A 27,931-nucleotide genomic window follows, 5' to 3' on the forward strand; every position below is an offset into this window, starting at 1 on the left:
TTATTGAGTGTTTCCTCTGTGCAAGGCACTTGCTGAGTGCTTCATATACATAATCTCATTTCAACCCACAAGATTTATAATAAGGAGGTGCTGTTATTATTGCCTACAGCCACACAGTTGGGAAGTGGCAGAGGCAGAATTTGAGCACAAGAAGTGTGACTCCAGAGCCTGTGCTTTTAACTACTAGAAAAAAGACTTCATTCAAACAGACCACCTGAATAGTAAAATAATGAACCAATACAATATGCTAGAACAAATTAATATTGTAGAACTCAGCTAAGAAATTGGTTCTATTTTGGCTACTGTTGGCTTTTAGAATGTAAATTTTGCTGCACAAATGTTTTGTCTCATTACGATTCTGGTTAGTTAAGTTAATATTTAGTTAAGCAATATGAAGCAGAAATCATTTCTAGCTCTGAGCACATAAAATCCCCCATGATGGGAACAGAATCAAACATGGCTGCTCTTCCCACTGCATTAGTCCACAGATTGGAGGTGCTCTTCTGTCCCCTCACAGTATAAAGCAATGCTAGCAGAATAAGAGGCAGATGTACAACCTTTCTCCTGAGTTGCAGGGCATTAACAATGCTCGAAGACACATGGCTTCAGCACATTTGAGCAACATGCCATATGGCAAGAACTGTTATATAATTTCTGAGTCAACAGTTTAGAATCTCTCAGGCCAGGGAATGTTCACATCCACACTGACCCCAGATATGCCACTACCAGACTGCTTTTTTTTTATTTTTGATATGAAGATTTCTGTAGAGCTGGGAAGAAAATAAAAACCAAAGTTACTGGAAGTCACTGTTATCTACTAACATGGCACATTTTAGAAATGTTAAAAAATGTATTGATTCATTGTCAAGAATGCTTTAATTGCAATCAGCAGTGACTTAAACATTTACAAAGACTGCTTTCAAGTTTATCAGTATTGACTATAATATACTAACTTATAATCTTAAATGTGGATCTGTGTACATCTGCATGTATATATGAAGTTCGGGAGAACATATGAGTTTATGTAGAAATGCCATGCTCCAGGTATCTAATTCTGCAGGTTATTTCTGTTTTTTTTTTTCATTAGCCCTTACACAGGGTTTTTGCTTCAAAATTCTTTTTGAAGCAAAAAAAAAATTTTTGCTTCAGAATTATCTGCCAGACAAACATTATTACAACTACCTAGCCAAAAGCTAATAGGAGGAAGAGATAATATATTTCAAATGTAAAATAATTCCTGGCTGGGCACAGTCGCTCATGCCTGTAATCTCAGCACTTTGGGATGCTGATCACTTGAGGTCAGGAGTTCAAGGCCAGCCTGGCCAACATGGTGAAACCCTGTCTCTACTAAAAAATACAAAAATTAGCCAGGTGTGGTGGCATATGTCTGTAATCCCAGCTACTCAGGAGGCTGAGGCAGGAGAATCGCTTGAACCCAAGGAGGCGGAGGTTGCAGTGAGCCGAGATCGTGCCACTGCACTCTGGGCGACAGAGGGAGACTCCCTCTCAAAAAAAAAAAAAAAAAAAAAAAAAAAAAAACACAAATAAATAAAATGTAAAATACCTCAAAGCATGATTCAATGCAATGTGAATGGCTTAACAAATAAGCCTTTAATTTGCCTCTGAAAAGTCCACTGGAACAGCTGTGTGGCCAACATAAAATGGCTGATTCATGTTTTATCAGAGAGCTGGAGGGGATCTGAGATCATTCCAGGCTGTATCTCCTCCTTTCACAGATGAAGAACAGAGACCCACAGAAATTATCCTGCCCAAGGTCTAGCAGTTTGTGGCAAAACCAGTTGTCATAAATCTCAGTACATTGCATTTTCTTTCCAAAGTGCTGACTCCTGTCACAATGAGACAATAATAAAGACAACGATAAACATTAAGGCAGTGCTTCCTCCTCCCTAAGTCGCCAGGTACTTACTGGATTAAGCACTTTAAATGAATACATTATTTAGCCCTCAGATCAACCCTATGAGATCAGAACTATTAGTATCCTTATTTACCATATGAGGAAACAGAAGGATCGTGAGATTCAGTAACTCACCCGGCCTTACACAGATAGAAGGTGTTAGAGCCAGGATTTGAACCAAGTCTGACTTAAGAGCCCATATTCTTCAACTGCTCCAACCAACCCACTACAATGCCATTATACCCCCACTAGAGAATTACGTGTTTCTAAATCAGAAAGTGGGAGCGTGGAGGCTCTTCCTATAGCTTTTAATAAATAGCAAGACATGATTGAGAATTTAACATTTTGACACACCACACAAAACTTAAGAGCCCTTGCTTCTCTTTGCTTTCTCAATCCATGCACTTATCTTTCTCTGTCTCTCTCCCTGCTACCCCCCAGTTTTGAGAGCGGCTTTGAGAGTCCTGATCAGTATCAATGATGCCATTATTCATCGAGCCTGACAAATAGGTCGGTTTCAGGAAATATGTGCTTCCCCTTCTCCACTTCCCCTGTTTTCCACCAGATAATGAATGCTTCTATCTTAATGTTTTTATTCCCAATTAAGAAGGAATTGTTATTTTTTAATGAAGAGAAAAATTAGTATGGAAACCATCAACTAATCTACACGTAACGTATTTACTAGGCAGATTATTTACAATAGATGTAAACTTGAGAGAATAGTAAGCATGAATTTTACCTTTTGCTAAGGAGAAGGAGCATCATAGTATTTGTATGATAATGGGAATATCTGAAGAATAAGAAAATATCCTCCCAAATTTTTTAAGTAGACAGTGCTCTATGAGCTGGCAGAAGCCAATTTCAGGGCTAACTGGGACATGGTACTCAATGTGATCATGCAACCTAAAATTTACTAAATTTTAGGCTATCAGTATGTTTAAAAATCATTTTGATCTTTTAAAATATATCTGAACTATCTGTAATGAAGAGCTACAGAAATCTTGAGTTTCACAACTAAATTTTATCATCTGTATGTAATGAAGTCATTTCTGGTTTGAAAAAAAAAAAGTTTGTTGCACATCCAGGCACATGAGTGATATATTGCAGAAGGCTAGAGTGTTCTCTGTGGGCAATAATGGAGGATGTGATTCCAGAAGATATGGAAAAGAAAGAGAAAAACAATCTTCCTTAAGCATTATTTTAACCACCTCACTCCAATAGCCCCTATTTTTCACCATATTAGTCTGAAGTTCTTAGAATTTCCTATTATCTGGCCTCATTCAACATGTACAAATAGGTCTCCCATCGCATCCCCAACAAGATGCATCTTCTTATTTTTCTTTCTTTCTTTTTTAATCTTAACTTTGCAGCTGGGTTCCCCCCCGCCAAGATATACCTTCTGCTCAGACCAGCATTACCACCATGGCTCTGTATCTTCCTTTACGGAAAAGTCAAATGAAAATATCATTTACGGGAACCTTCCATTAATCAGCACATAAAGTGACCTATTTAACCCTTACAGCAACCACATAGCATAGGTATTGCCATTTTTACTTTCTTCCATAGAAAACAAATTGTAGCTCAGAGAAATTAAGTAAATTGTCCAAGAGAACCAAGGCAGAGGTCCTGAAATTCAAACACAGGTCTCACGTCAAAATCCATGTGCTCTCCTTGACACATGTCACTTCCTCTTGTCTGGATGCCTTCTAGGCTTCCCTTTGACTAAACTCTAAACAACTCATATGTTGACAAGTAATAATCATATATATTTATGGTATACAACATGATGTTCTGATATATGTATCCCTTGTGGAATGGCTGAATCAGGCGATTTAATGTATGTGTTGTCTCAAATACTTATCTCCTCTATGTTCCATCTGCTCTCTGGTGCCTTCCCAGACAATTGGTGCCTTTCCAGATTTTCTCTCTTTAAAATCTGGTGCCTTTTCTCTTTCTCTTTAAAATCTGGTGCCTTTCCAGATTTTATCTCTCCTTGGATTTTATGTAACACTTAAAATCTATAAAATTTAGAGTTTAAATATTATCTCAAAATGTTATTTGGTATGCATTTCTTTTGCTTTCTAACTTATTTTTGGATTTCTCAAGGGCTTCATGGGCTGCACACACACAGTGGGTTGGGGGGGGAGTCATGAATACTTAAAAAATTATTGTGAGACTTTCTGGCTTCCTGAGTTATATGAGAGGAACCAACAACAGACACTGGGCTGAGGCACTGAATGAGTGGTGAGAGGAGTCCCAGAAGAGACAGTGGAGAAGGTAGAATGGGGTTATATAATAAAGGACCTCAAATGTAGTCCAAAGAGTATAGATTTTTTCTAGCATGTGATGAGGAGTCCTGGAAAGTATCTGAGAAGTGCATGAGAAGAGCTCCAGTTCAGGAAGATATATATGGCTGCATCTTGAGTAACATAAATTGAACACGGTTAATGACGGGTTTGTATAACCATAGCATTTATCCCCATTTGTCTCTGCATCTGTAGGAAATGTTTTACTTTTGTTGTTGATTTAAATCTAAAAGTACACACCCGGCACAAAAATACAGAGTGCTAACAAGTCAAGACTGTTCCAGACTCTGAAGAACTTATTACATAAAGTCCCAAAGGACTGATAAAAAGACAAATTAATTACAACCAACATTATGAACTACTTACTCACTTTAATAAAATATATTGCTCAAGTTGTAGGAATGATATTTGGAAAGGCTAATTTACCCAGTGTGAGCAACTGAAGGAATTCTCCTAGTCCAAGATTGTTAACTCTTGAAAAAATTATGTTATCAAACAATTTCTCAAGTTTGCTTTATATGGCAAGGAAAAACCTATCAATAAACAAAACATTAATTTTCTTTAAACTAGTCATGTGCTTTTACCTCCAAATCTTTTAAGGCCAATATCCTCCCTTCATTTTTTTGTTTTTAACTAACTGAGAATGTCATTCAGCTGATGCTCTTATAAGTAGAAATAAGGAGAAAACACTCAGTAGGAAGAAATAGTTCACGAGCTCTATTGTACAACACGGTGACTATAGTTAATAACAACGTACTGTATTCCTGAAAATTGCTAACTGAGTAGACTTTAAGTGTTCTTACCACAAAAAAGGATAAGTTCATGAGGTAAAGCATGTGTTAATTAGCTCAATTTAGCCATTCCATAATATATACATATTTCAAAACATCACACTGTACATGATAAATATATGCAACTTTCATTTGCCAGTTAGAAAAATAATTTTTTTTTATTTTTTTGAGACAGAGTCTCACTCGGTCACCTAGGCTGTGGTGGGACCTCGGCTCACTGCAACCTCTGCCTCCTGGGCTCAAGGCATTCTCCCGCCTCAGCCTCCCAAGTAGCTGGGATTACAGGCGCCCACCACCACACCTGAATAAGTTTTGTATGTTTAGTAGAGACGGGGTTTTGCTATGTTATTCAAGCTGGTCTTGAACTCCTGACCTCAAGTGATCCGCCCACCTCGGCCTCCCAAAGTGCTGGGATTACAGATGTGAGCCACCATGCCCGGACGAAAAATAAATTTTTAAAAAGATGAAATATCTAAGAAAAAGGGGGCATAATCAGAAGCAAAAGAACCAAAAACTTCCTCCACCAAACCAAATGCTTCCCTCTGGAACTAAAGCAATTGTGACTGACTCCTAGGAAAGCCTATGGTCATAAATTATAAAACAGCAGTCATTTGTGTTGGATGGAATGAGGATAAAATACCACAAGGAGGTCAGGTGAACAATTTGAAGCTTAATAAAAATCTGTTCAAGGATTTTACAAGTAAGTGGCAGACCCAGATTCTGAAACCAAATCTTATTGACTTCAAAACTCATGTGGTATAATTGGAAAGAACAGGTGTGAATTACACAGGGAAAGTAAAACTCCAGAGGAATTAAAGAAAATAAACTCAATGGAAGAAGAGGCCAGAAGCCCAACTGTCAGGTGTAGAGGGAGAAAACTTACCAGCGTATTTTGTAGTGTTAGATTCATCCATGGACCAAAAGCAATAATCAAAGGCAAATACCTGAATGAAAGAACAAAATATTAAACTTAAAGATTAATTAACTTCTTATGAGTAAATCAGACTAAAATAAATCACAGGTGAAGATGAGAAGGATGGCCACTACTGTCTGACTGAAAAAAATCACTATAGGTTTGGTGCTTTTGTTAACCATAAAATTTCTTATTTTCCTCTTTTTTGGGGGACAGGGTCATCCAGGCTGGAGTGCAGTTGAACTATCACAGCTCACTGAAGCCTCAAACTCCTGGGCTCAAGGGATCCTCCTGCTTCAGCCTCCTGAGTAGCTAGGACCACCAGTGCATGCCACCATATCGAGCAATTAAAAAAAAAATTGTTGCAGACAGGAGGTCTTGCCCTATTGCTCAGGCTGGTCTCGAACTCCTGGCCTCAAGTAATCCTCTCTCTTCTGCCTCCCAAAATGTACTGGGATTATAGGTGTGAGCCATCGCGCCTGGCCCTATGATATTTCTTTTAGACTAAATATATGGTTAGCTTTCTGTATTAGAATAAGTTGTATATGAAAATTACTATTTATCTAGAATTCAAATAACCAGACATTTTAACGAGATATTTTTTTCCACAATACATCTGATGAGAAAACACAAAAAACAAAAACAATATCTTCTCTCGCAAGTCCATGGTTTCAGCAACCATGGAACCTTCCAGGTCGATCTCCCTCAGCTTCTCAATACTCAACTTTCATATAAAGCAGTTCCTTCTCCTAGCTTTCCATGATATCATCTGTAGCATACTGAAGTTCAAAACTCTCCATATTCCCATCCTGCACTCCTTTCCCCTTCTGTCTCTGCAGGCAATCTCCAGCAAAGCATGTTTTTGTTTTTGTTTTTGTTTTTTGGTGGTGGTGGGGGGGGTTCTTACTGTATTTTTAATATACAATTCCTCGAAAAGTAAAGATGTGAAGCAACTTTACATGTTTAGCAATTTTACATGTTTAGTATTTGGCATGTCTTTTACATGTAAAAGTATCTCTTCATATTTTTTAAATTTTAATTTTTTTTGAGTTGGAGTCTCGCTTTGTTGCCCAGGCTGGAGTGCAGTGGTGCGATCTCGGCTCACCGCAACCTCTGCCTCCCGGGCTCAAGTAATTCTCCTGCCTTCAGCCTCCTGGGTAGCTGGGACTACAGGTGCTCGCCACCATGCCTGGCTAATTTCATGTTTTATCTTTTTTTATTTTTCTATAAGTTATTGGGGTACAGGTGGTATTTGGTTACATGAGTTAGTTCTTTAGTGGTGATTTGTGAGATTTTGGTGCACCCATCACCTGAGCAGTGTACACTGCATCATATTTGTAGTCTTTTATCCCTCGCCCCTCTCCCACTCTTCCCCTCAAATCCCCAAACTCCCCTGTATCATTCTTATGCCTTTCTGTCCTCATAGCTTAGCTCCCACATATCAGTGAGGACATACAACGTTTGGTTTTCCATTCCTGAATTACTTCATTTAGAACAATAGTCTCCAATCTCATGCAGGTCGCTGCAAATGCCGTTAATTCATTCCTTTTTATGGCTAAGTAGTATTCCACCACACACACACACACGCACACGCACGCACACACACACACACACACACAGCATGGTTCCTTTATCCACTTGTTGACTGATGGACATTTGGGTTGGTTCCACGATTTTGCGATTGTGAACTGTGCCACTATAAACATGCATGTGCAAGTATCTTTTTCGTATAATGACTTATTTTCCTCTGGATAGATACCCAGGAGTGGGATTGTTGGATCAGATGGTAGTTCTACTTTTAGTTCTTTAAGGAATCTCCACACTGTTTTCCATAGTGGTTGTACTAGTTTACATTTCCACTAGCAATGTAAAAGTGTTCCCTGTTGACCGCATCCACACCAACATCTACTGGTATGAAATCATTAATTCACTTTTACATGAATTAACTTTCTGTATAGCTACTGAATGCCTACTATATACCGGGAATGGCTGGTGCTTCTTGGTGCTTCCCCTGTAAGGACTCCCATCAAACTGCTGTTTTTTCTTTTCCTTTTTTTTTTTTTTTTGAGACAGAGTCTCACTCTGTCACCCAGGCTGCAGTGCAGTGGCATGATCTCAGCTCACTGCAGCCTCTGCCTCCTGGGTTCAAGCAATTCTCCTGCCTCAGCCTCCCAAGTAGCTGGGACTACAGGCACGCACCACTATGCCCAGCTAATTTTTGTATTTTTAGTAGAGACGAGGTCTCACCATGTTGGCCAGGGTGGACTCAAACTCCTGACCTCAAATGATCTGCCTGCCTCAGCCTCCCAAAGTGCTGAGATTACAGGCGTGAGCCACCATGCCTGGCCCTAACTGCTGTTTTTCATGCCCATTACCACCACTTGTGTTCCAGCTGTTATTATCAAATGTGTAGAGCAATGTTCCCCAAAGTGTGTTCTAAGGAACCAGAGTTTCATGAGCTACTCCATGAAAAAAGACCAAATCATGTTGGAAGTGGTGCACGTTTTATCCTATTTGAGATTCTCAATGAAATTCTCAATATTAAAGGCTCTAAAAAGTCTTCCAGAGACTTTTCAGAAATGAAGTCCAGGAAAGAAGCCTATTTGATTGTTTAACATTTTATTTCCCCAATTCATTTTGGTGAGGAGACCCTTTTTGGACTAACACTTATTAACATGCCTTGGAACTACTACTTCTCAGCATATCCCTTAGCAAATGCAGCCCAGGTGACTCAGCAGCTACCTTCCTGGGCTCACTGCTATTGCCCTTTATCTCTTGCAGTCCAAACAGCAAATTACAAACCTCCCATGGGCAGGATCCTTTAATGCTTAATCACTTCCAAGAGATCTTAAGCACTGAGCATACAGAACCCATGCTCTTTGGCCTGGCATTTGAGACTAGCCACAATAGGCCCTCCCAGCCTATTAACCCCAAATTCCTCATGCTCCAGTGGAACTTGTCCTTACCTCAGAATTACTAAGTATAATTTCATCTCTGTCCTTGTTCTCTCCTTCATTTCCACCCTTCAAAATACGTCATACCCCTTAAGGCCCAGTTCGATACATTTTTCCTCCCAGAAGCATTCTTGGTTAAATCCAAAGGAATCATCTTTTCTTTCTCTGAAACCTTACAACACTGTTTAGTCCTTTTTTATGGCTCCTATCTCAATTATTTTATTTTTCATTTATCATGTATATGATCTGTGTGTGTGAGACAGCATTCATTCATTCATTCATTCATTCATTCATTCAGAGACAGGGTCTCCCTCTGTTGCCCAGACTGGAGTGCACTGGCACTATCATGGCTCACTGCAGCCTCAATCAGCTCAATTGATCCTACCTCCTCAGCCTCCTGAGTAGCTGGGACTACAGGCACATGCCACCATGCCCAACTAATTTTTGTGTTTTTTGTAGAGATGGGACTTCGCCATGTTGCCCAGACTGGTATCAAACTCTTGGGTTCAAGCAATCCTCCCACCTTGGCTTCCCAAAGTGCTGGGATTACAGGCATGAGCCACTGTGCCCGGCCTGTATATATGTTTCATCTCCACTTGTAGACTAAGTTCCCTGAAAGCAGGATCCATATCGAATTCATCTTTGAAGCCTGCAATGTTTATAGTAGTCACTTTATAATTACTTATTGATGTACTTAATGGCATTAAGATCTCGCAGGGAAACAGGCATTTTTTTACATTATAAAAGACTAGTAAGTTATACGCAATGTTCTCTCTCTCTTGCCAAAAAAAAAAAAAAAAAAAGACTAAGTTATGTTCTGAATAGTTTCAGCACTATATATACTTTATTTTAATGTTTTTAAAACTGATTTAGGTATATATGATGTACTCAACTTACATCATCAACCCGAGATCCAAATTCAATTTTGTTACTTAAACAAACATTCACTCTGGTTTTATAATAACCAAGTTTCAAATGAACAGTTATGAAACAATAGTTTCAGCCAAGAGAATGTGGAATATTTACTGCATTCAAGGGCTCTTCCAATGACTCTAGAGACCGACCACACAGGCGTAATCCAGTTAATCTTCCTGCCTCTGGGTAGGACTGAACTTCAACACTTCTAAGAGATGATGATCTATCTTGTTTTTAAACATCTCCAGAAAAGGAGATTCCACAAACTCCCTTTAATGGCATCTTATAATACTTAACTTTTATTTCCAGGACATTTCCCTTTTCTTTTGACCTAAGTCAACTCTCCTTACTTTAAACAGCCAATAGAGGCTATTTTCCTTTCTTTTCTTTTCTTTTTGTTTTTTTTGAAGTATCTTTACCGCTCTCCTTCTTATATCCCGGGCACTGTGCCCAAGCTTGATCCATGGTGAATTTCAGTGACATGCGTCATCCTAAATATTAAGAAAAAAAAAATCCTCCCACCAAGAACCTTTGGTTTTCAACCTCATTCTGTGCTGCTTTCAATAACTTCTGGTTTCTGCACTAAAAAAATTTGCAGTCAGTATTTACTGAGCATGACTACAAATCAGGCCTAGTAGTAGCCATCTAATTCATTAATTCACTTATCCATTCACAAATATTTATTGAGTACCTATTGTGTGCTAAGCGCTAGAATTATAGCAGTCAAAAAACATGCAAAGACTCGTGGAGCTCATGAGTATCCTATTACTTGCATTATCTGTAGTAATACTTATATTATTCATGTCCCTTATGAAGCTCCCAGTGAGGTGAAGGGAGAGAAGCAATATGCAAGCAACCAATAAACACATATGACGCCAGGAGGTAATCAGTGACACAAAAATGTAACAGCAAGGGGGCACTGGAAAAAACTGGAGCAGGTCCTATGAAAGCCTGTGGAAAAGCATGACAGCCAGATGGAATAGCAGGTGCAAAGGCACTGGGGCAGAGAGTGCCTGTGTGTTCAAGGACTGTGTTTTGAACACAGTTATTGTTATATATAGTGGAATAATCATTTATTCACTTCTTCAGTTATTGCTATATGTAGTGGAATAATAATTTATTTTCTACATGTTAATTTTTCATGCCTACCTCTAACTTTTTTTTTTTTTTTCATTTTTGTTTTCTTTATAGAGACAGGGTCATGTTGTGTTGCCAAGGCTGGTCTTAACTTCTGGGATCAAGCGATCCTCCTGTCTTGGCTTCCCAAAGTGTGGTATTACAGGCATGAGCCACTGCATCCAGGTCAAACTTAATTTAACAATTTGCTATTCTTCAAATAAAGTTAGAAAGCTAGACATTTACATTCATAGTAATGCTACTTAAAATAAAAGAGATCTACCCCAAATTTTGAGGGTCTACCTGTCAGTAAGAATTATTCCAAAGTCTGTGAAAACTTCTAACAATCAAAGAGTTAATCATTTAAAGTTGTTTTTGCCAATAAAAGGGCACGAGACCATTTTCATTTTAAGCATTTGCCCCCTAGAATTCAGACAAATATTAAAACCCTGCAGATGAAAAGAGTCCTAACAATACTGATAGATACAACTGTTCTTTGCTTGCCAAAGAGCAGCACCCTTTGAACTGCATTATGTCTTGAATTTCAAAATCTCTGATCACAGGCATTTTAGAATGGTGATACCTCAAACCAGTCTTGGAGTATAGGTTGTTATTTTATTAAACATTTACTAGGAAGAAAGCTGAAGTCCAGAAATCTACATGATTTCCCTAAAACTCAAAGCAAGTGAATAGAAAAATTTTTGTTGTATTCTTTTCTCAGCTGGAAGTGATCTCCCAATCCCCTTTCCCTCCTATGAAATTTTACAGCAGTTTGTAGCTCCCTTGACACTGATTTACATACGGTCCTGTTTTATGCCTTGGTTCTTCTGTGTGGGTCTTACTTCCAAATCTAAATGGTGAGCTCCATGGCAGCAGGAACTATGTTCCATGCACCCCATAGTGCCTGTTTCAGTATTTCATACAGGGCAGGCACTGTATGTAATATTTTTTCAATTAATAAACATATTACCAGGGGAAGGAGTTGGAACACAGACAAGAGCATGGAGTGGATGTAAGAACTATTATGAGTAAGCAGAGGTTCAAGCTGCAGGATATATTTTTAGATGTTTCATTACTTTCACATGCATGGTTTGGGGGAACTTGATTCCTGCAATGGTCAAATAAGGATTCGGTCACTAGATGAGCACTGGGGTCCCCTTCAGCATCATTATTCCATGGTTCAGGTGGATAAACAAGCAAGGGCATATCATGCACAATTTGTAGTCTGCACAGAAATTAGAACATTTATTTGTTTGACTGTCACTAGAAAAATTATGGCCGTTACTAATGCAGTTTTAAAGATGTTTAAATTAATTCCTTTGTCATGTCCTTGACATTTCCCTTGCAATCTCTTGTTAGTTCCATAAACTATTTACAAACTATTACCCTTCCTTTCATGCCAAAATGTAATTATATGAATAACACAAGGTTTGTTACAAAAGGAGACATGCTTTTCTTAGGTCTTTACAGTAGTTTTGATTTTCCCATACAAAATACATTGACATTTCAAAAGGGAGAAAACCAATTTCTCAAGACTTATTCCTTGGAAACTGACTACTTTGTTTTTTTCTAATTTTTTAAAAACTTTATTTTAGAGAGAGGGTCTTGCTCTGTCACCTAGGCTGGAATGCAGTGGCATGGTCATAGCTCACTGCAGCCTCAACCTCCCAGCTCAAGCGATCCTCCCAAGAGTAGCTGGGACTACAGGCGCATGCCACCATGCCCAGCTAATTGTTATTTTTTGTAGAGATGGGGGCTCGCTGTGTTGCCCAAGCTAGTCTCGAATTCTCCTAGCCTCAAGTGATCTTCCTGCTTTGGCTTCCCAAAGTGCTGGGATTACAGTTATGAACCACCATGGCTGGCCAGAAACCGATGACTGAAGAAAAATAAAGTCTTATTTTTTGCAAACCCACCATATTATACTAGAAAAATGTTATTTAAGACTTCTAATTGGGCCAGGCTCAGTGGCTCACAGCTGTAATCCCAGCACTTTGGGAGGCCAAGGCGGGCGGATCACCTGAGGTCAGGAGTTCAAGAGCAGCCTGACCAACATGGTGAAACCCCATCTCTACTAAAGATACAAAAAATTAGCCAAGCGTGGAGGCACGCACCTGTAATCCCAGCTACTTGGGAGGCTGAGATAGGAGAATCATTTGAACCCAGGAGGCGGAGGTTGCAGTGAGCCAAGATCGCACCATTGCACTCCAGCCCAGGTGACAGGGCGAGACTCTGTCTCAAAAAAAAAAAAAAAAAAAAAAAGGTCTTGCTCTGTTGTCCAGGCCAGAGACTGCAGTGGGGCTTGAGGCAATCACAGTTCACTGTAACCTCAAACTCCTGGGCTCAAGCAGCCTCCCGAGTAGCTAGGACTACAGGCACATGCCACCATACTTGTCTAATTTTGCTGTTGTTGCAAAGATGGGGTCTTGCAACATTGCCCAAGTTAGTATCGAACTCCTGACCCCAAGCAATTCTCCCACCTCGACCTCCCAAAGTGCTGAGCCACTGTACCTGGCCCAGCAGACTTCTTAATGCATACAGCTGAGTAAAACAACAAAATGCCAACCAAGTATAAATTTTACATTTTATCAATAAGAGCCAACATTGTGAGAACATTTTTTTTGCAAAGGCATTCATAGCTTTTCAACGGAAAAAACAGCCAAAAGCATAGATGTTTTGTAGTCGTTTTTGAAATCTGAAAGCTATTGCCTTCACTGTTTTCAACAAAATTTGACTCCACCTTCTCAGAATCCCACTCCTTCCTCTTAGTTTGCAACTTATAAAACTCATACCAGGATTTAATTCCCTGCAGCTTGTGGTACATCTGCTCCACCTTTATCAGGCTCTTAAAAATGTTAGCTTTGCATTTTTGTGAACCACTGAACATCTAATAAAGTTACTAAAGCTGTTTTTAATAAGGCAAATGTGTTGAGAGATATATATAATCTGAGGTAATGAAGTTCCATGACTTACGAATAGGATGTAGTACAGTTAAACTCCACTTTTACTTAAAAGTCATCTCTGATGGCATTTCAGCAAAAGTCAATTTACAGTTAAAAAAAAAAAAAAAGGCCAGGCACAGTGGCTTATGAGGTCAGGAGATCGAGACCATCCTGGCCAACATATGGTGAAACCCTGTCTCTACTAAATATACAAAAATTAGCTGGGTGCGGCAGTGCACGCCTGTAATCCCAGCTACTCGGAAGGCTGAGGCAGGAGAATCACTTGAACTCAGGAAGCGGAGGTTGCAGTGAGCTGCGATTGCGCCACTGCACTCCAGCCTGGCGACAGAGCTAGACTGTGTCTCAAAAAAAAGCAGCAGCAATGGCCAGGCACAGGGCTCACGGCTGTAACCCTAGCACTTTGGGAGGTGGAGGCAGGCGGATTACTTGAGATCAGGAGTTTGAGACCCTCCTGGCCAACATGGTGAAACCTTGTCTCTACTGAAAATACAAAAATTAGCTGGGTATGGTGGCATGTGCCTGTTATTCCAGCTACTCGGGAGGCTGAGGCATGAGAAATGCTTGAACCCGGGAGACTGAGGTTGCAGTGAGCTGAGATTGTGCCACTGCACTCCAGCCTGGGCAACAGAGCAAGACTCTGTCTCAAAAAAATAAAAAAAGAAGTAAGATCTTCTATGTTCCCTGCAGAACCAGAAGGCATCTGTGTTTTAAGATATGTAATCTGTAACCATTTTTCTGATCCATAAAAACGAGATGTGAAGGTGCTTTCAACTGCATTATCTCTGTATCCTTTCATTTGTCCTTTCGAGTTGTGTGCTTTCACTAATATGTTCTCCAACTGCAAAATGGTCAATCTGGAAAGCAATAAACTAACACCCACTTGTTACCTTTTTCAATTTTAGGGGCTACAGGGAACTCAAGTATGTACTAGGCATGTTTGTATCCTCTTGCTTACAGTCTAGTTAAAAAGGCAAAACACAAAACAAGTATTCTTTTTCTAAGAAAAGTAATTTTTTTCCCTAAAATCATTTTAATACCTCTCAGAAACCCTCCTCAGACACAAAGTGATTAATATTTATTATGTCAAGATAATTTAATTTTATGTAAAGAAATATTTCTGGACATATACATCAGATTTTTGCAAAGTGAGCCAAAACCTACCCCCTTTTAATTTGTTTCCTTTTAATGTCATCTCAAATGTCACTCCTTTATAAATTTTTTTTTTTTTTTGATGGAGTCTTGCTCTGTCGCCCAGGCTGGAGCGTAGTGGCATGATCTCAGCTCAGCACAACCTCTGCCTCCCAGGTTCGAGCGATTCCCTTGCCTCAGCCTCCTGAGTAGCTGGGACTACAGCTGCCCACTACCACGCCTGGCTAATTTTTGTATTTTTAGTAGAGATGGAGTTTCACCATGCTGGCCATGCTGGTCTTGAACTTCTGACCTCAAGTGATTTGCCTACCTTGGCCTCCCAAAGTGCTGGGATTAAAGGCGTGCGGCACGGCACCCGGCCTGCTTATAAAACTTTTAAGGATACTATTTCTCATTATCCTGAATTTCCATATCTGTCTAATCAGATTCTGTATGTGTGTATATATATGTATACATCTATTTATATACAATTCCCTTTGTTCTGCTACAATATTAATTCTTAGAGGATAAAGCCTTGGTTTCCCTAATCTTTTCATTACCAAAAATACTCGGCGAATTTACATTTTAAAGCAACTTTTGCTGGGTATGGTGGCTCATGCCTATAATCCCAGTGTTTTGAGAGGCTGAGACTGAAGGATCACTTGAAGCCAAGAGTTCAAGACCAGCCTGGGCAACATAGTCTCTACAAAAAATAACATTAGCCAGCTGCAGGGGCATGTGCCTATAGTCCCAGATACTCAGGAGGCTGAAGCAAGAGGACTGCTTGAGCCCAGAAGTTTAAGCCTGCAGTGAGCTGTGATCATGTCACTGCACTCCAGCCTGGGTCACAGAGCAAGACTGTCTCTAAAAAATAAAATAAAAATAATAAAAAAAAATAAGGCAACTTCCTGGTGAACTAACTACCTCTTAATCAATCATGTAAATCTGTTTTCACATGTGACATCTGCTTAAAATAGCACAGATCAGTCAGTGTAAATCCTTCAGTGGCACAGCCAGGATAGCAGCACCCCAACGATACTTTGCCAAAGCCTCCATTTTTACTTCAACTGCCACAGTAACAGACTGGTGTCACCCTACAGGCATTATTTTTGTGTTTACTGGATTCCCACTGCTTTCCCAAAAAGACATAAGAAATGACCCTATTCATCTGTATATTACGTCAATGGTCAGCCAACTTCTCAGCTCTGAGAGATTCCACCAATGATCAAGAAATCCTTTGGGTATATTGAACACAGTGAGATGTCTAGGGAAAAGAAGAAGGAAGGGGAGAGCCAGGTGCAATGGTATGCACCTGCAGTCCCAGCTGCTTGTGAGGCTGAGGTGGGAGGATCACTTGAGCCTGGGAGTTTGAGGCTGCAATGAGCTATGATCACACCTGTGAATAGCCACTGCACTCCAGCCTGGACAACCTAGTGAGATCCCATTGCTAAAAGGAAATAATAATATTAACAAAAAAAGAGAAGGAAATCATAATAATAACAAAAAAAGAGAAAGGAATGTAGAACTATGAGGGAATTTCTCCTTCCTGTAATTCTCTGCCTTTCCTCACCTTGCCTCCCTGCCCAGTGAAGTACAACTCACACTACTCAAGACCTGCTCAAATGTCACCTCCTCCAATGTTTTCTCAACTTCCTCCCTATAATTATTGCCTCCTCTGGGCTGTCTTAGCCAACAGCTCTCCCTCTCTAACACACACTCATCTACCTAAGTAACTGCACATTTTACATTAATTTGGGATTGTGGTAACATAAATGGAATACCTACTAAGATAATGCTTGGCACACAGTGAAATTCAGTCTATGGCAGCTACTGTTATCAATATTATCATTATGTACTGATGGACTTCGCTCCCCCATTAATAGCATAGCTACTGCTGTAGAGCGTTTGTTATGTACCAGGCACCAACCTAAATACTTTATATTCTCACCAAGCTGGAAGGTTTTCTGAGCCAGGGACTGTGCTAACTCATCTTTATTCTCTCTAGGTACAGGATAGTGTAGATGGGTACTCAGTATTTGCTGAATTAAATAGAAAGAGAAGTGAAAAGGCAAAAAAGGCCATGTGTGTGGGAGTTGCTACAGACTGTTTGGTTCTGTGTCAAAAATATCAATGCAAAACACACTACTTCCTAGCGCCCAAATCTAAAATCAAAAGGGCTTCCCTTGGGGAAAAAAGTCTGCTCTATGTGGACTTGCTTTGCTTTGTATGAAGGAGTGTGTCCTCTCCTCTACACTGCCTTCTTCCTCTCTTTGTACAATTAATCCGCTGTTCACATCTGCAGACCCAGCTGCCATTAACAGCCTGTTCTGCCACTATCTACTTTGAAAACTGAGCCCCAGAGCTCTCTGAAAAGCCCCATTTCTCCAGTTTTAGGAACATTAGCTTGCCAATGTCCTGTTTTGTGGTTTTCAACTTTGTCAATTTGAAAGACTACAATTAATATGAAAGCGACACTTCAAATGTGTTCACATTTCACCACACCATGTTATGAGCACTGAGTCATACCAAGTAAAGTTCTAGATTTCACTTCATGTTCAAATTTTTCTTTTAATGCCAAGTTTCAATGCTTTTCTCTTTTTCATCTTTCTCCTGATATCAAAGTTGTGAAGATTCATAAAAGAAAAAAAGGAAGAGTTAAACTTCATTCATCTCAGAGGAACTGGACTGAAACTGAAAGGAAACCCCAGCACCAAGAGCCTGTGTGATCACAGAACTGCCTTCACTACTGCTTTTCTAAAAGCAGCTCTGCCAGGAGGAACTCCAGCATGTATCTGAACACATCTCCTAAGGAATGCTAGAGTCATCACCCTTATTACTGGTGAGTTTTATTGACAGATCTACCTTCCCATTTAAACATATGTCAAGTAACAGCTGTCTTTTGGCAATGTAATTAATCATTTCCTTTACATATGCCTATAGATACATACCAAATAATGTCTTGCATTACAGTCGGCATGGACTGATTGTGAAGATGTGAAAGCCTCTTAAAGATTCAAAGCCAACAGCATTTGCTGCACATCTACAAGGCATTGTCCCTGATCTCAGGGAATGCACGGTCTGTTCTAGAAAACAACTATCCTTGGAAAATACTACTCTGCATTGCAGTTCAAATTTCTATGGATGCAAGGAGAAGGTATCTCTACAAAGAGCTAATTCATGCTTTCATTCATTTAATGAATAAATCTGAAAACAGGAAATCATCCTCCCAAAACCCAGACCAATATTATAACAGCACAGAGCTTCCATTTAACACTGCACACATAAACTAGTGGTGCATAAGCAATGAAGCACTAATTCAGTTCTAACTCTTTCAAATACTCTACTCATTTCATATTTAATCCTCTATCATTCATTTTCAAAATCCGCTTCACTGGTGGCTGAGGAGTGGGGGTCGGAGTGTCACAAATGCACAATCTGTGGTATTTCCAGTTCTTTCATATCCTGATCACTTCTCAAAAAACCTAGCCACCCAAATAACTTCTTCAACAGCACATTCAAAGGTGATGTGGATATTTTCAAACACAGAATACTTCTTCTTCAATAAAAACAGTCCAAAAGATAAGTTGCAAATGTCTAAGCATCTGCTATCAGATCCTATCTGCTATCTCTGATAAATGATTATTGTTACTCATAAAAATGAGAAGAAAAATAAAACCTAGATTAAATCTGAGTCATGCTAATATCACCCACCATGAGCAATCTCTGGGTCTGGCTCAGAACTTCTGGACCAAGACCTCATTTCTTGTGCCTATCTCTCCAGTCCCCTCTGCCTCACTGCACCATGCCAGGTACATAGAGCCACAGAGAGGAGAATGCTAGGCTGACTCCATGGCCCCAGGTCACCAAAGCTAAAGGACCTGAGGCAGTCCAGGGGTTGCAAACATTTACTCCCAGTTAAGTTACGCTGCAAAGGACTGATGAAGAGTTCACACTGCTGCGGCTGACTCGGGCCAAGTGGGAGCCAAGAGACTCCCTGGTCCAGAAGGCTTTCACTATTCTAGACAGGGAGATGGATCAACACCAAGAGACAAGGGAGATGGATATCTTTTCTTCCTGGGGCCTATACTCCATGTGACCTGGTACTCCGTCAGTGGTACTGTAGACATCTAAAGGCACAGAGTTCCAGTGAGAACATTTGGTTCTGAACAAAGTCGGGCAGAAGGAAAGGGGAGAGTAGAACCTGTAGGAATTTCAAGATAGAAACACACAGCACTTCACTTGAACCCGGGAGGTGGAGGTTGCAGTGAGTTAAGATCATGCCATTGCACTCCAGCCTGGGCAACAAGGGCGAAACTCCATCTCAAAACAACAACAACAACCACAACTACTAACAACCACCACCACCACCCTATGTTTCTGAGGATTGTTTTGTTGTCGTTGTTAAAAAGAGGAAAAAAAAAAAAGTCTTGGGAAATTTTTAGAAGGATGATTTATAATGACAAAGTGTGGTATATTGCATTACTGTTCCAAATGATTCCTGGCCCTCCTGGTAAGGGAATTACACATCCCTGCCTATTGCCACATGACATGCAGTGCCTGTAGTAGGAAGGAATACAATTCCTCACCATACTGACATCAGGCTTAGCTGTGTGACTTGCTTTGGCCAATTAAGTATGAACAAAGTGACATATGCCAGTCTGGGCAACAGCTTTAAGAAGCCACTGCACAGTTCTCTTTCTTTGTTCCCCTCTGTCACAGTATTAGCAAGTCCCAGATAGGGGTTGTTCCTTCAATCTGGAGCCCAGATTGAAGTCATATGGTATACAGCCACAGGGAACCTCGGCTGACATGTAACATCAGGGAAATATATTTTCGTTGTTTCTAGCCATTGAACATTTAAGGTTGTTACTGTTGCATCACGGAGCATAAGCAGGTTCACACACAAGGCAGTTCCTTTAAAATGAACCTAGATTATTATCCACCCTACATTCTATACTTATCAATTATCTTCTATCTTGCAGCCGTATGAATTTCTTGCAAGCACAGTTCTGATCATGTAGCTTTTCTATATAAAGATCCTAAATGATCTTCATAGCCTACCAGATTAAGTCCAGACTCCCAATGCTCTATAAACTACATTCTCCCAGTTTTTTAAAACACGATCTTCCTTTCATGTACTCTACACTTTAACCAGAGTGTGCAACTTATTTCCTAATACGTCAATTACTTTCTTGTTTGTCTTCCTTTACATACATCTTGATTCTTTTTTTGAGTCAGAGTCTCGCTCTTGTTGCCCAGGCTACAGTGCAGTGGCAGGATCTCGGCTCACTGCAACCTCTGCCTCCCAGGTTCAAGCAATTCTCCTGCCTCAGCCTCCCGAGTAGCTGGGATTACAGGCACCCACCACCATGTCCAGCTAATTTTTTTTTTTTTTTTTGTATTTTTAGTAGAGATGGGGTTTTGCCATATTGGCCAGGCTGGTCTCGAACTCCTGACCTCAGGTGATCCGTCTGCCTCAGCCTCCCAAAGTGCTAGGATTACAGGTGTGAGCCACTGGGCCCAGCCCCTGCATCTTGATTCTTATCCTAAATTTCTGCACTTTGACACCCTATCCATACTTGCAGGCCTCCTGAAGTTCCATGTTTAGCTATGAAGCCTTCTTCCTCAGAAGACACAAGACACAAAGTACTGAAGTAGTGAATGATGATGTTACCATAATCTATTTTCCACTACTTAGATTATAGTATATCTAATCTTCCTTATCATGTTATGAATTCTAGAAAACAAAAACTACTAGTTTAGTCACTCTTGAGCCTAGGAAACAATTCCTAGGAAAAACGTATAGTGAGAAGGTTATGCTGTCATTGAGTTCATGCAGCTGCAACACTCCTGGACCCAGATATAAAAGTAAAAATGTAAAAGATCAAGGTAGGTCTGCTGCATTTGACTGGGTAATGAAACAAGCAAAAGCCTTAGGAAGTATACTGGTGTTCAGTACTAAGCCATGGGTTTGATCTGAAACAGAGCTGTCCCATAGAAATATAATGCTAGCCATATAAATAATTTAAAATGTTTTTGTAGACACACTGAAAAGTAAAAGAGGCCAACCATGGTGGCTTATGCCTGTAATCCCAGCACTTTGGGAGGCCAAAGCGGGCAGATCACTTGAGGCCGGGAGTTCGAGACCAGCTTGGCCAACATGGTGAAACCCTGTCTCTACCAAAAAATACAAAAATTAGCTGGGCGTGGTGGCACAGGCCTGTAGTCCCACCTACTTGGAAGGCTGAGGTGAGAGAATTGCTTGAACCTAGGAGGTGGAGGTTGCAGTGAGCCGAGACTGTGCCACTGCACTCCAGCCTGGGTGACAGAGTGAGACCCTATCTCAAAAAAACAAAAAAGTAAAAAGAGATGAAATAATTTAATATAAAAATAATAATATATTTAACCAAATATATAAAAAATCTTATATTCTTTTTCTTTCTTGTACCAAGTCTTCTAAATCTAGCATATATTTTGTACTTAATCTCGAGCAACACCAGTCACATATCATATGTTCATAAACCACTTGTGGCTAAATGGCTACTGTACTGAATAGTACAGGTCTAGAACTCACCTCATTGAGGCCAAATGCTTAGTAGCAAAACAGTAGAGGCAACAGAAAATGAAGGCAGTCACAGATTGTGAAGCTAGACTAAATAAAGTTGCATTTCAGATGGCATAAGCTGTACCTAATAAGGTTTCCCCCTTACTTTTTCTGAGCAATTTTCATAAAGGCAGGTTTTTGGTATGTATCTGTGTGCTTCTTCAAATGACTCAGTTTCAAAAAGTAACAGTTTTGTTTTGTTATAATGTAGTCAATTTCTTCAGCTTACAATTTTGCCAAAAACTTATAAACATAGAAGTGAGATCAAACACCTTGAAGTTCAGTAACCTAACTCATAAATAAAACAAAAAACACCGAAAGTGAATTTAATTCACAAGCTCTAACACTCAAATAAACCGTACATGAAATTATAAGATACTAAACAAAACAATTGTGAGTTTAAAATGAGCAAACTGAGTAAAAAAGAATATGATCCTACACAAAGTGATTTTTCAGTTATTTATATGTTTTCCCTCAGATTCTTTCTTCTTACTCTTTCCTTATATCTTGGCACATAAAATCCAATACATAGAAAAACTCATTTACAATCATATGATGTCAAAGAAAATACACTTGTCCCTCTGTATCCTTGGAGACTGGTTCCAGGAGCCCCTGAGGACACCAAAATCCACAGATGCTGAGATCATCCTGGACTGTACCTGACTGGCAATCAGGAGGCCTAGACTGGAGCCAAGCTCTCCCCCTGGACGGTTTAGCCAATTAAGCATCAGTCTCCTTGGTCTTGAATAAAAAGATTTAAATCATCTAAGTTTAAAAATCTCTCTTAGCGCCAGGCATTGTGGCTCACTCTAGCACTTTGGGAGGCCGAGGCAGGCAGATCACCCGAGGTCGAGAGTTTGAGACCAGCCTGACCAACACGGAGAAACCTGTTGACAGGGAAAACCTGTTGACAGGAAAGACAGGGAAAAACCCTGTCTTTACTAAAAACACAAAATTAGCCAGGCGTGGTGACACATGCCAGTAATCCCAGCTACTCAGGAGGCTGAGGCAGGAGAATTGCTTGAACTTGGGAGGTGGAGGTTGCAGTGAGCCGAGATCGCACCATGGCATTCCAGCCTGGGCAACAAGAGTGAAACTTCGTCTCAAAAAAAAAAAAAAAAAATCTCTTCTAGCTATGTACTGCTAACTTGGGACATAGAAGGTTCTGAATAAATCTTGAGGGACAGAAGAAGAAAATGAAAAAAAGGAGGAAGAATTCTTTTTTTATTCCTGTGTGTGTTTCAATGTGGCTCCTCAGGAAGGAAAGAAACTTGACCCAGATAAGACAAAACCATGACAAGTGAGGGGTCTTGGAACATGCCAGATATTCTGAGGCCACCTGGGGATGCAGAAACTGGGCTTCTGCAGGCAGAGCTGCTTTGACTGAGGACACTTCCCTGTACCTATCAATAGAGCATACATAATGGCATAATTAGGTAGTGATTCTCCACACAAGTGTCGTCTTCCTCTGCACCACCTCCTGCCAAAATCCAAAGTTAATCAGAAGGTGGCTAAACTAACAAGCACTTTCCCCCTTCTCCTTCTTCTTTTTTTTTTTTCAAAGAGACAAGGTCTTGCTGTCACCCAGGCTAGAGTGCAGTGGCACAATCATACCTCAGTGAAGCCACAGACTCCTGGGCTCAAGCGATCTTCCCACCTCAGCTTCCCAGGCAGCTGGGACTACAGGGACATGTTACTATGCCCAGCTAATAATAATAATAATAATAATAATAATGTTATTATTACTATTGTTATTGTTAAAGACAAGGTCTCCTTATGTTGCCCAGGCTGGTCTCAAACTCCTGGCCTCAAGCAATCCTCCTGCCTCAGCCTCCCAAAGTGCTGTGATTACAGGCATGAGCTACCACACCCAGTCGAATTTCCCTAATTTACACCTATCTGCGATACTTCTCAGACAAAAACCTCAGACTCAAAACTACAGTCACACTGAGAAGGAAAGACACTCCAATCCTACAAATTATGAGACAAAGCCTCTTTTTTCCCCCTGTAAACTACAGAGAGGTAAGAAGCAGATGTCTCATGTTTGCCCAAAAGCTTGCTTTTCTGTTTAAAAGAAACAAAACACACTTCCATAAATACTACATCATAATACACAACTGGTAAAAGTACTAAAAGGTATGCATGAGGCTTATGCTGAAATAAATGTTTCTCCACTCAAGAGTGCAAATTTACAAAATGTAACATTTATCAAAGAGAAAAACCCAAAGATATGGTACAAAGCAATTTATAAAGACAGAAACTTATGTACATTTCCCTTGTATTCTGACATGTTACATTACACATGCTACATAAAAAAATTTAAATCTAACTTTTAAAACTCAGCTGGAAGAATATCTTCATCTTCTCCTTGCCCTAACACAACACTTAGAAAAAATAATTTTTAAGAGTTAGGAACAAAAGAAACCCAACTGGGGAGGCTGAGGAAGGAGGATAGCTTGAAGCCAGGAGTTTGAGACCAGCCTGAGCAACAGAGTGAGACCTCATCTTTACAAAGAATTAAAAAATTAGCCAAGTGTGGTGGCTCATGTCTCTCGTCTCAGCTACTTGGGAGGCTGAGGCAGGAGGATTGCTTGAGCCCAGGAGTTTGAGGCTGGAGTTTGACGATGCAGTGAGCTATGATTGTGCCACTGTACTCCAGCCTCGGTGAGACCCTGTCTCTTAAAAAAAGAAAGACACCCAATTTGGGGAGAACAAGTGTATGAATTCTCAACTCCACCACCACCAACAGCACCATTCATGAATCCATGGCTTTTCTTAATTTTCATTGGTTCTTCCTCCTCTTTTCATTCTCCAAAGCAGAGTGAGTCCCAAGGTGCTATCCTCTATTCTCTCATGTCTTCTATTCCACTTAATCCTGTTTTCCTTGACAAGAGATACCTCTTCCTCCACTTCCTACTCTCTTCACCCCAATAATTTACCTGATCTTTGTAAGGCAGAGTCGGCAAATTCGTATCACCTGCTAAGCATCCTATCAGATGGCTGCCATCACTTCCAACTCAGCCCACTCTAGAACGTAATCAACTTCCCACTGAACCAAACTAGCTCTTCCTTCTTTAGTTTATGTTGATTTGATTTTTCATTCACTCAGTTTCAAATCCGAGACATCTCTGACTCTTGATATACTGTCTTCTCCTATATGCTGTTAGCATCAAAGTCCTGGTTACTTTATTTCTGTAATGTTTTCGTAATTCTTCCCTTCCTCTTTCCTGCTCTAATGGGCACTGCTCCTGTGCAAACCCTTATTTCCTTTTTTTCTGATGTATTTTACTGAATACTACCACTAGCCTCCCTACTGATCAAGCTTTGTTCAAAACAGGCAATAGAGACACTGAAGGTATCAAGGTCCAACCCTGACATCAAGGCCTGCCACAGCTGGGTGATACATCACTGTGCAGTGATAAGAGTGTCTTTTGTATGCTAATGAGATGACTGGTGGCTGGGGTCCCCAGGTGGCTTCAAGATAGGGCTGCTTACCAGAAAGACCAAGGCAGGATTAGAGGGTTGGAACATTTAGCCCAATTCTTGACTTCTGGGAGGGGAGAGACACTAGAGACTGAGTTCAATGGATTCAATCAATTATGCCTATGTGATGGAGCCTCCATAAACATCCCTAAACTACAAGGATGGGAGAGCATCTGGGTTGCTGAACACAAGAAGGTACTGGAAGGGCAGTACACACAGAAAGGGCAGAGAGGCTTCATGCTGCCTTGCCCTATGCATTGCTGCCATCTGACTCTTCCTGAGTTTTATCCTTTATCAAAGCTGGCAATATTATGTAAAGGGCGTTCCTGAGTTCTGTGAGCCATTCTAGCAAATTATGGAACCTGAGGAGGGGGACACGGGAACTCTTGATTTATAGCCGGTAGGTCAGAAGTATAGGTGGCAACCTGGGACTTGCGAATGGCATCTAAAGTGGAGGCAGCCTTATGGGACTGAGCCCCTAACCTGTAGGTCTGTGCTAACTCCAGGTAACATGCCAGAATTGAACTAGATAGTAGGGCACTCAGTTGATTTTGGAGAATTGGAGAATTTACTGGTGCTGGGGAAAACACCATACATTTGGTGTCAAGAGTGCTGTGGGTAAATACAGTTCAGTCACCCAGGATTCCTCTTCATGTACCTTTAGTCCAACTCTATGCCTTGCCCTTACCTGAGCACAGCTGACACTTTCCTAGTTCTATGTCTTAGCACATCTGTCTACAATCAAATAACCAAATGTGGGTTTTAGAAGCTCTGCCTGTTTTTCACTCAATATATCCCAAGTATTTAATGTTTTTGATGTTTTGATGGTTAAAAATTTTATTTTTGAATTGTTTATTGATAGTATAAAGAAATATATTTTGACCTTTTTTCTGCCACCTTGCAGGAGCTTGTTTGCAGATTTCTTAAGGTTTTCCAAGTATACAACCTTATTGTACCTTATTGTAAATATACTTTTGCTACTTCCTTTCCATCTTGAATTTCCTTTACTTCTTTTCTTGCTTAACTGCACTGCCTAGGACCTCCTGTCAATGCACAATATAAGTGGTTAGATCAATATCCTCGCCTTATTCCCCATTTTAGGCAGAAAGTATTCAGTCTTTTACTATTACATAGGATGTCAGATGTAGATTTCTCATGGGCCTTTTATCATATTGAGGTTTCTGTCTACTGTTAGGCTGCTGCAAGTTTGTATCATAAATTCATAAATAAACATTGAATTCTGTCAAATGCTTTTTTTCCTGCATCTTTTTTTTTTTTTTTTTTTTTTTCTGAGACAGAGTCTTGCTCTGTCGCCCAGGCTGGAGTGCAGTGGCGCAATCTCGGCTCACTGCAACCTCTGCTTCCCGGGTTCAAGTGATTCTCCTGTCTCAGCCTCCCAAGTAACTGGGACTACAGGCGTGTGCCACCACACCCGGCTAATTTTTGTATTTTCAGTAAAGACAGGGTTTCACTGTGTTAGCCAGGCTGGTCTTGATCTCCTGACCTCGTGATCCTCCCACCTTGGCTTCCCAAAGTGCTGGGATTACAGGTGTGAGCCACTGCGTCTCACCCCATTTTTTTTTTTTTTTGAGACAGGGTTCTGTCGCCCAGGCTGGAGTGCAGTTGCATGATCAAGCTTACTACAGCCTAAACTTACCGTGCTCAAGTGATCATCCCACCTCAGCCTCCTGAGTAGCTAGGACTACAGGCATACGCCATCATGCCCTGCTAACTTTTTTTATTTTTAGTAGAGACAAGGTCTTGCTATATTGCTCAAGCTAGTCTCAAACAATCCTCCCACCTTGGCTTCCCAAGGCCGGGGATCACAGGCGTGAGTCACTGCACCTGGCCTTTTTCTGCATCTTACTGATATGATCACATAGTTTTTCTTTTTCATTCTGTTAATAAGAATTATAGTGATTTTTTCATAATCATGACTTTTTTTTTTACAGAAGTTTTAGGCTTACAAAAAACTTCGGCAGATAGTACAGAGTTCCTATATAGTCTCGCTTGTCCCCACTCCCTACTGTTAAGAATTGTTTCCCCAATTATTAACATCTTTATTAGTGTGGTACATTTGTTATAACTGATGAACCAATATTGATACATTATTCATAACTAAACTTCACGGTTTATATTAGGATCCATTCTTTGAGCCGTATGGTTCTATGAATTTTGACAAATGCATAATGTCATATATCTGCCATTACAGTATCACACAGTACAGTTTCCCCTATGCTTTACTTATTCATCCCTATCCCAACTCCCTCTCTATTAAAGACAGCTGTTACTAATAATAGTACTCAGAGAGTACAATCCCAGGGATTGATAGAAAGGATGTGAGACCTTTCCTGCATTAACAGTTGGGTAAGAATAATGGTAACTCAACCATGGCTGAGTTATCATTAACTCAACTGGACCAGCTAGGCATTTGGATCTTCCTAAGAAAGGATTAAAAACAGCTGGATCTATCTGCTGCTAAACCCTTGCACTAAATTCTTAATTTCGGTTTTGGGTTTTTCAGATTGAGGATTTATTTCTATTGGGTTATTTTCCAAATCAGTTATGCCACTTTCTATAGCTTCTAGTTCTCTCCAACATTTTTCAATCTTATGTTTTATGTCTTTGAAGATAACAAATATATTCATTTTGAAGTTCCTGTCTAATAATTTGGTCATCTGAAGCATCTATGGGTCTATTTCTAATTTTTATTATTTCTGTTGGCTCTTGTTCATGTCACATCTTGTCATGTACCTCCTTAACTTTGATGGTGTATTGGACATTGTATTTTTAAAACAGTTTGTGGAATCACTAAAGACTTAGGATTTCATTTACTTCTGCCAGGT

The 27,931-nt window shown here is 40.1% G+C and overlaps 1 protein-coding gene across 4 annotated transcripts in view, besides 1 other annotated feature; it reads right to left on the reverse strand.

The window, feature by feature from the left end:
* Positions 1-27,931, reverse strand: part of KIF13A (kinesin family member 13A) — a 228,510-nt gene that overhangs the window by 108,356 nt on the left and 92,223 nt on the right. For all 4 annotated transcript variants that reach the window (NM_001105568.4, NM_001105567.3, NM_001105566.3 and 1 more), the window contains exon 4: positions 5,896-5,956. In NM_001105568.4, coding sequence (NP_001099038.1) covers positions 5,896-5,956 — 61 coding nt within the window. The remainder of the gene's footprint in view (positions 1-5,895; positions 5,957-27,931) is intronic.
* Positions 17,137-17,431: a silencer, noted in NCBI's record as "tiled region #4275; HepG2 Repressive non-DNase unmatched - State 7:EnhWF". NCBI's record gives its function as "represses a minimal TATA promoter and a strong SV40 promoter by Sharpr-MPRA in HepG2 cells {active_cell/tissue: HepG2}" and the evidence as "EXISTENCE:reporter gene assay evidence [ECO:0000049][PMID:27701403]".

This window comes from Homo sapiens, chromosome 6 (assembly GCF_000001405.40).
Source record: "Homo sapiens chromosome 6, GRCh38.p14 Primary Assembly".
NCBI classification, from domain to species: domain Eukaryota; kingdom Metazoa; phylum Chordata; class Mammalia; order Primates; family Hominidae; genus Homo; species Homo sapiens.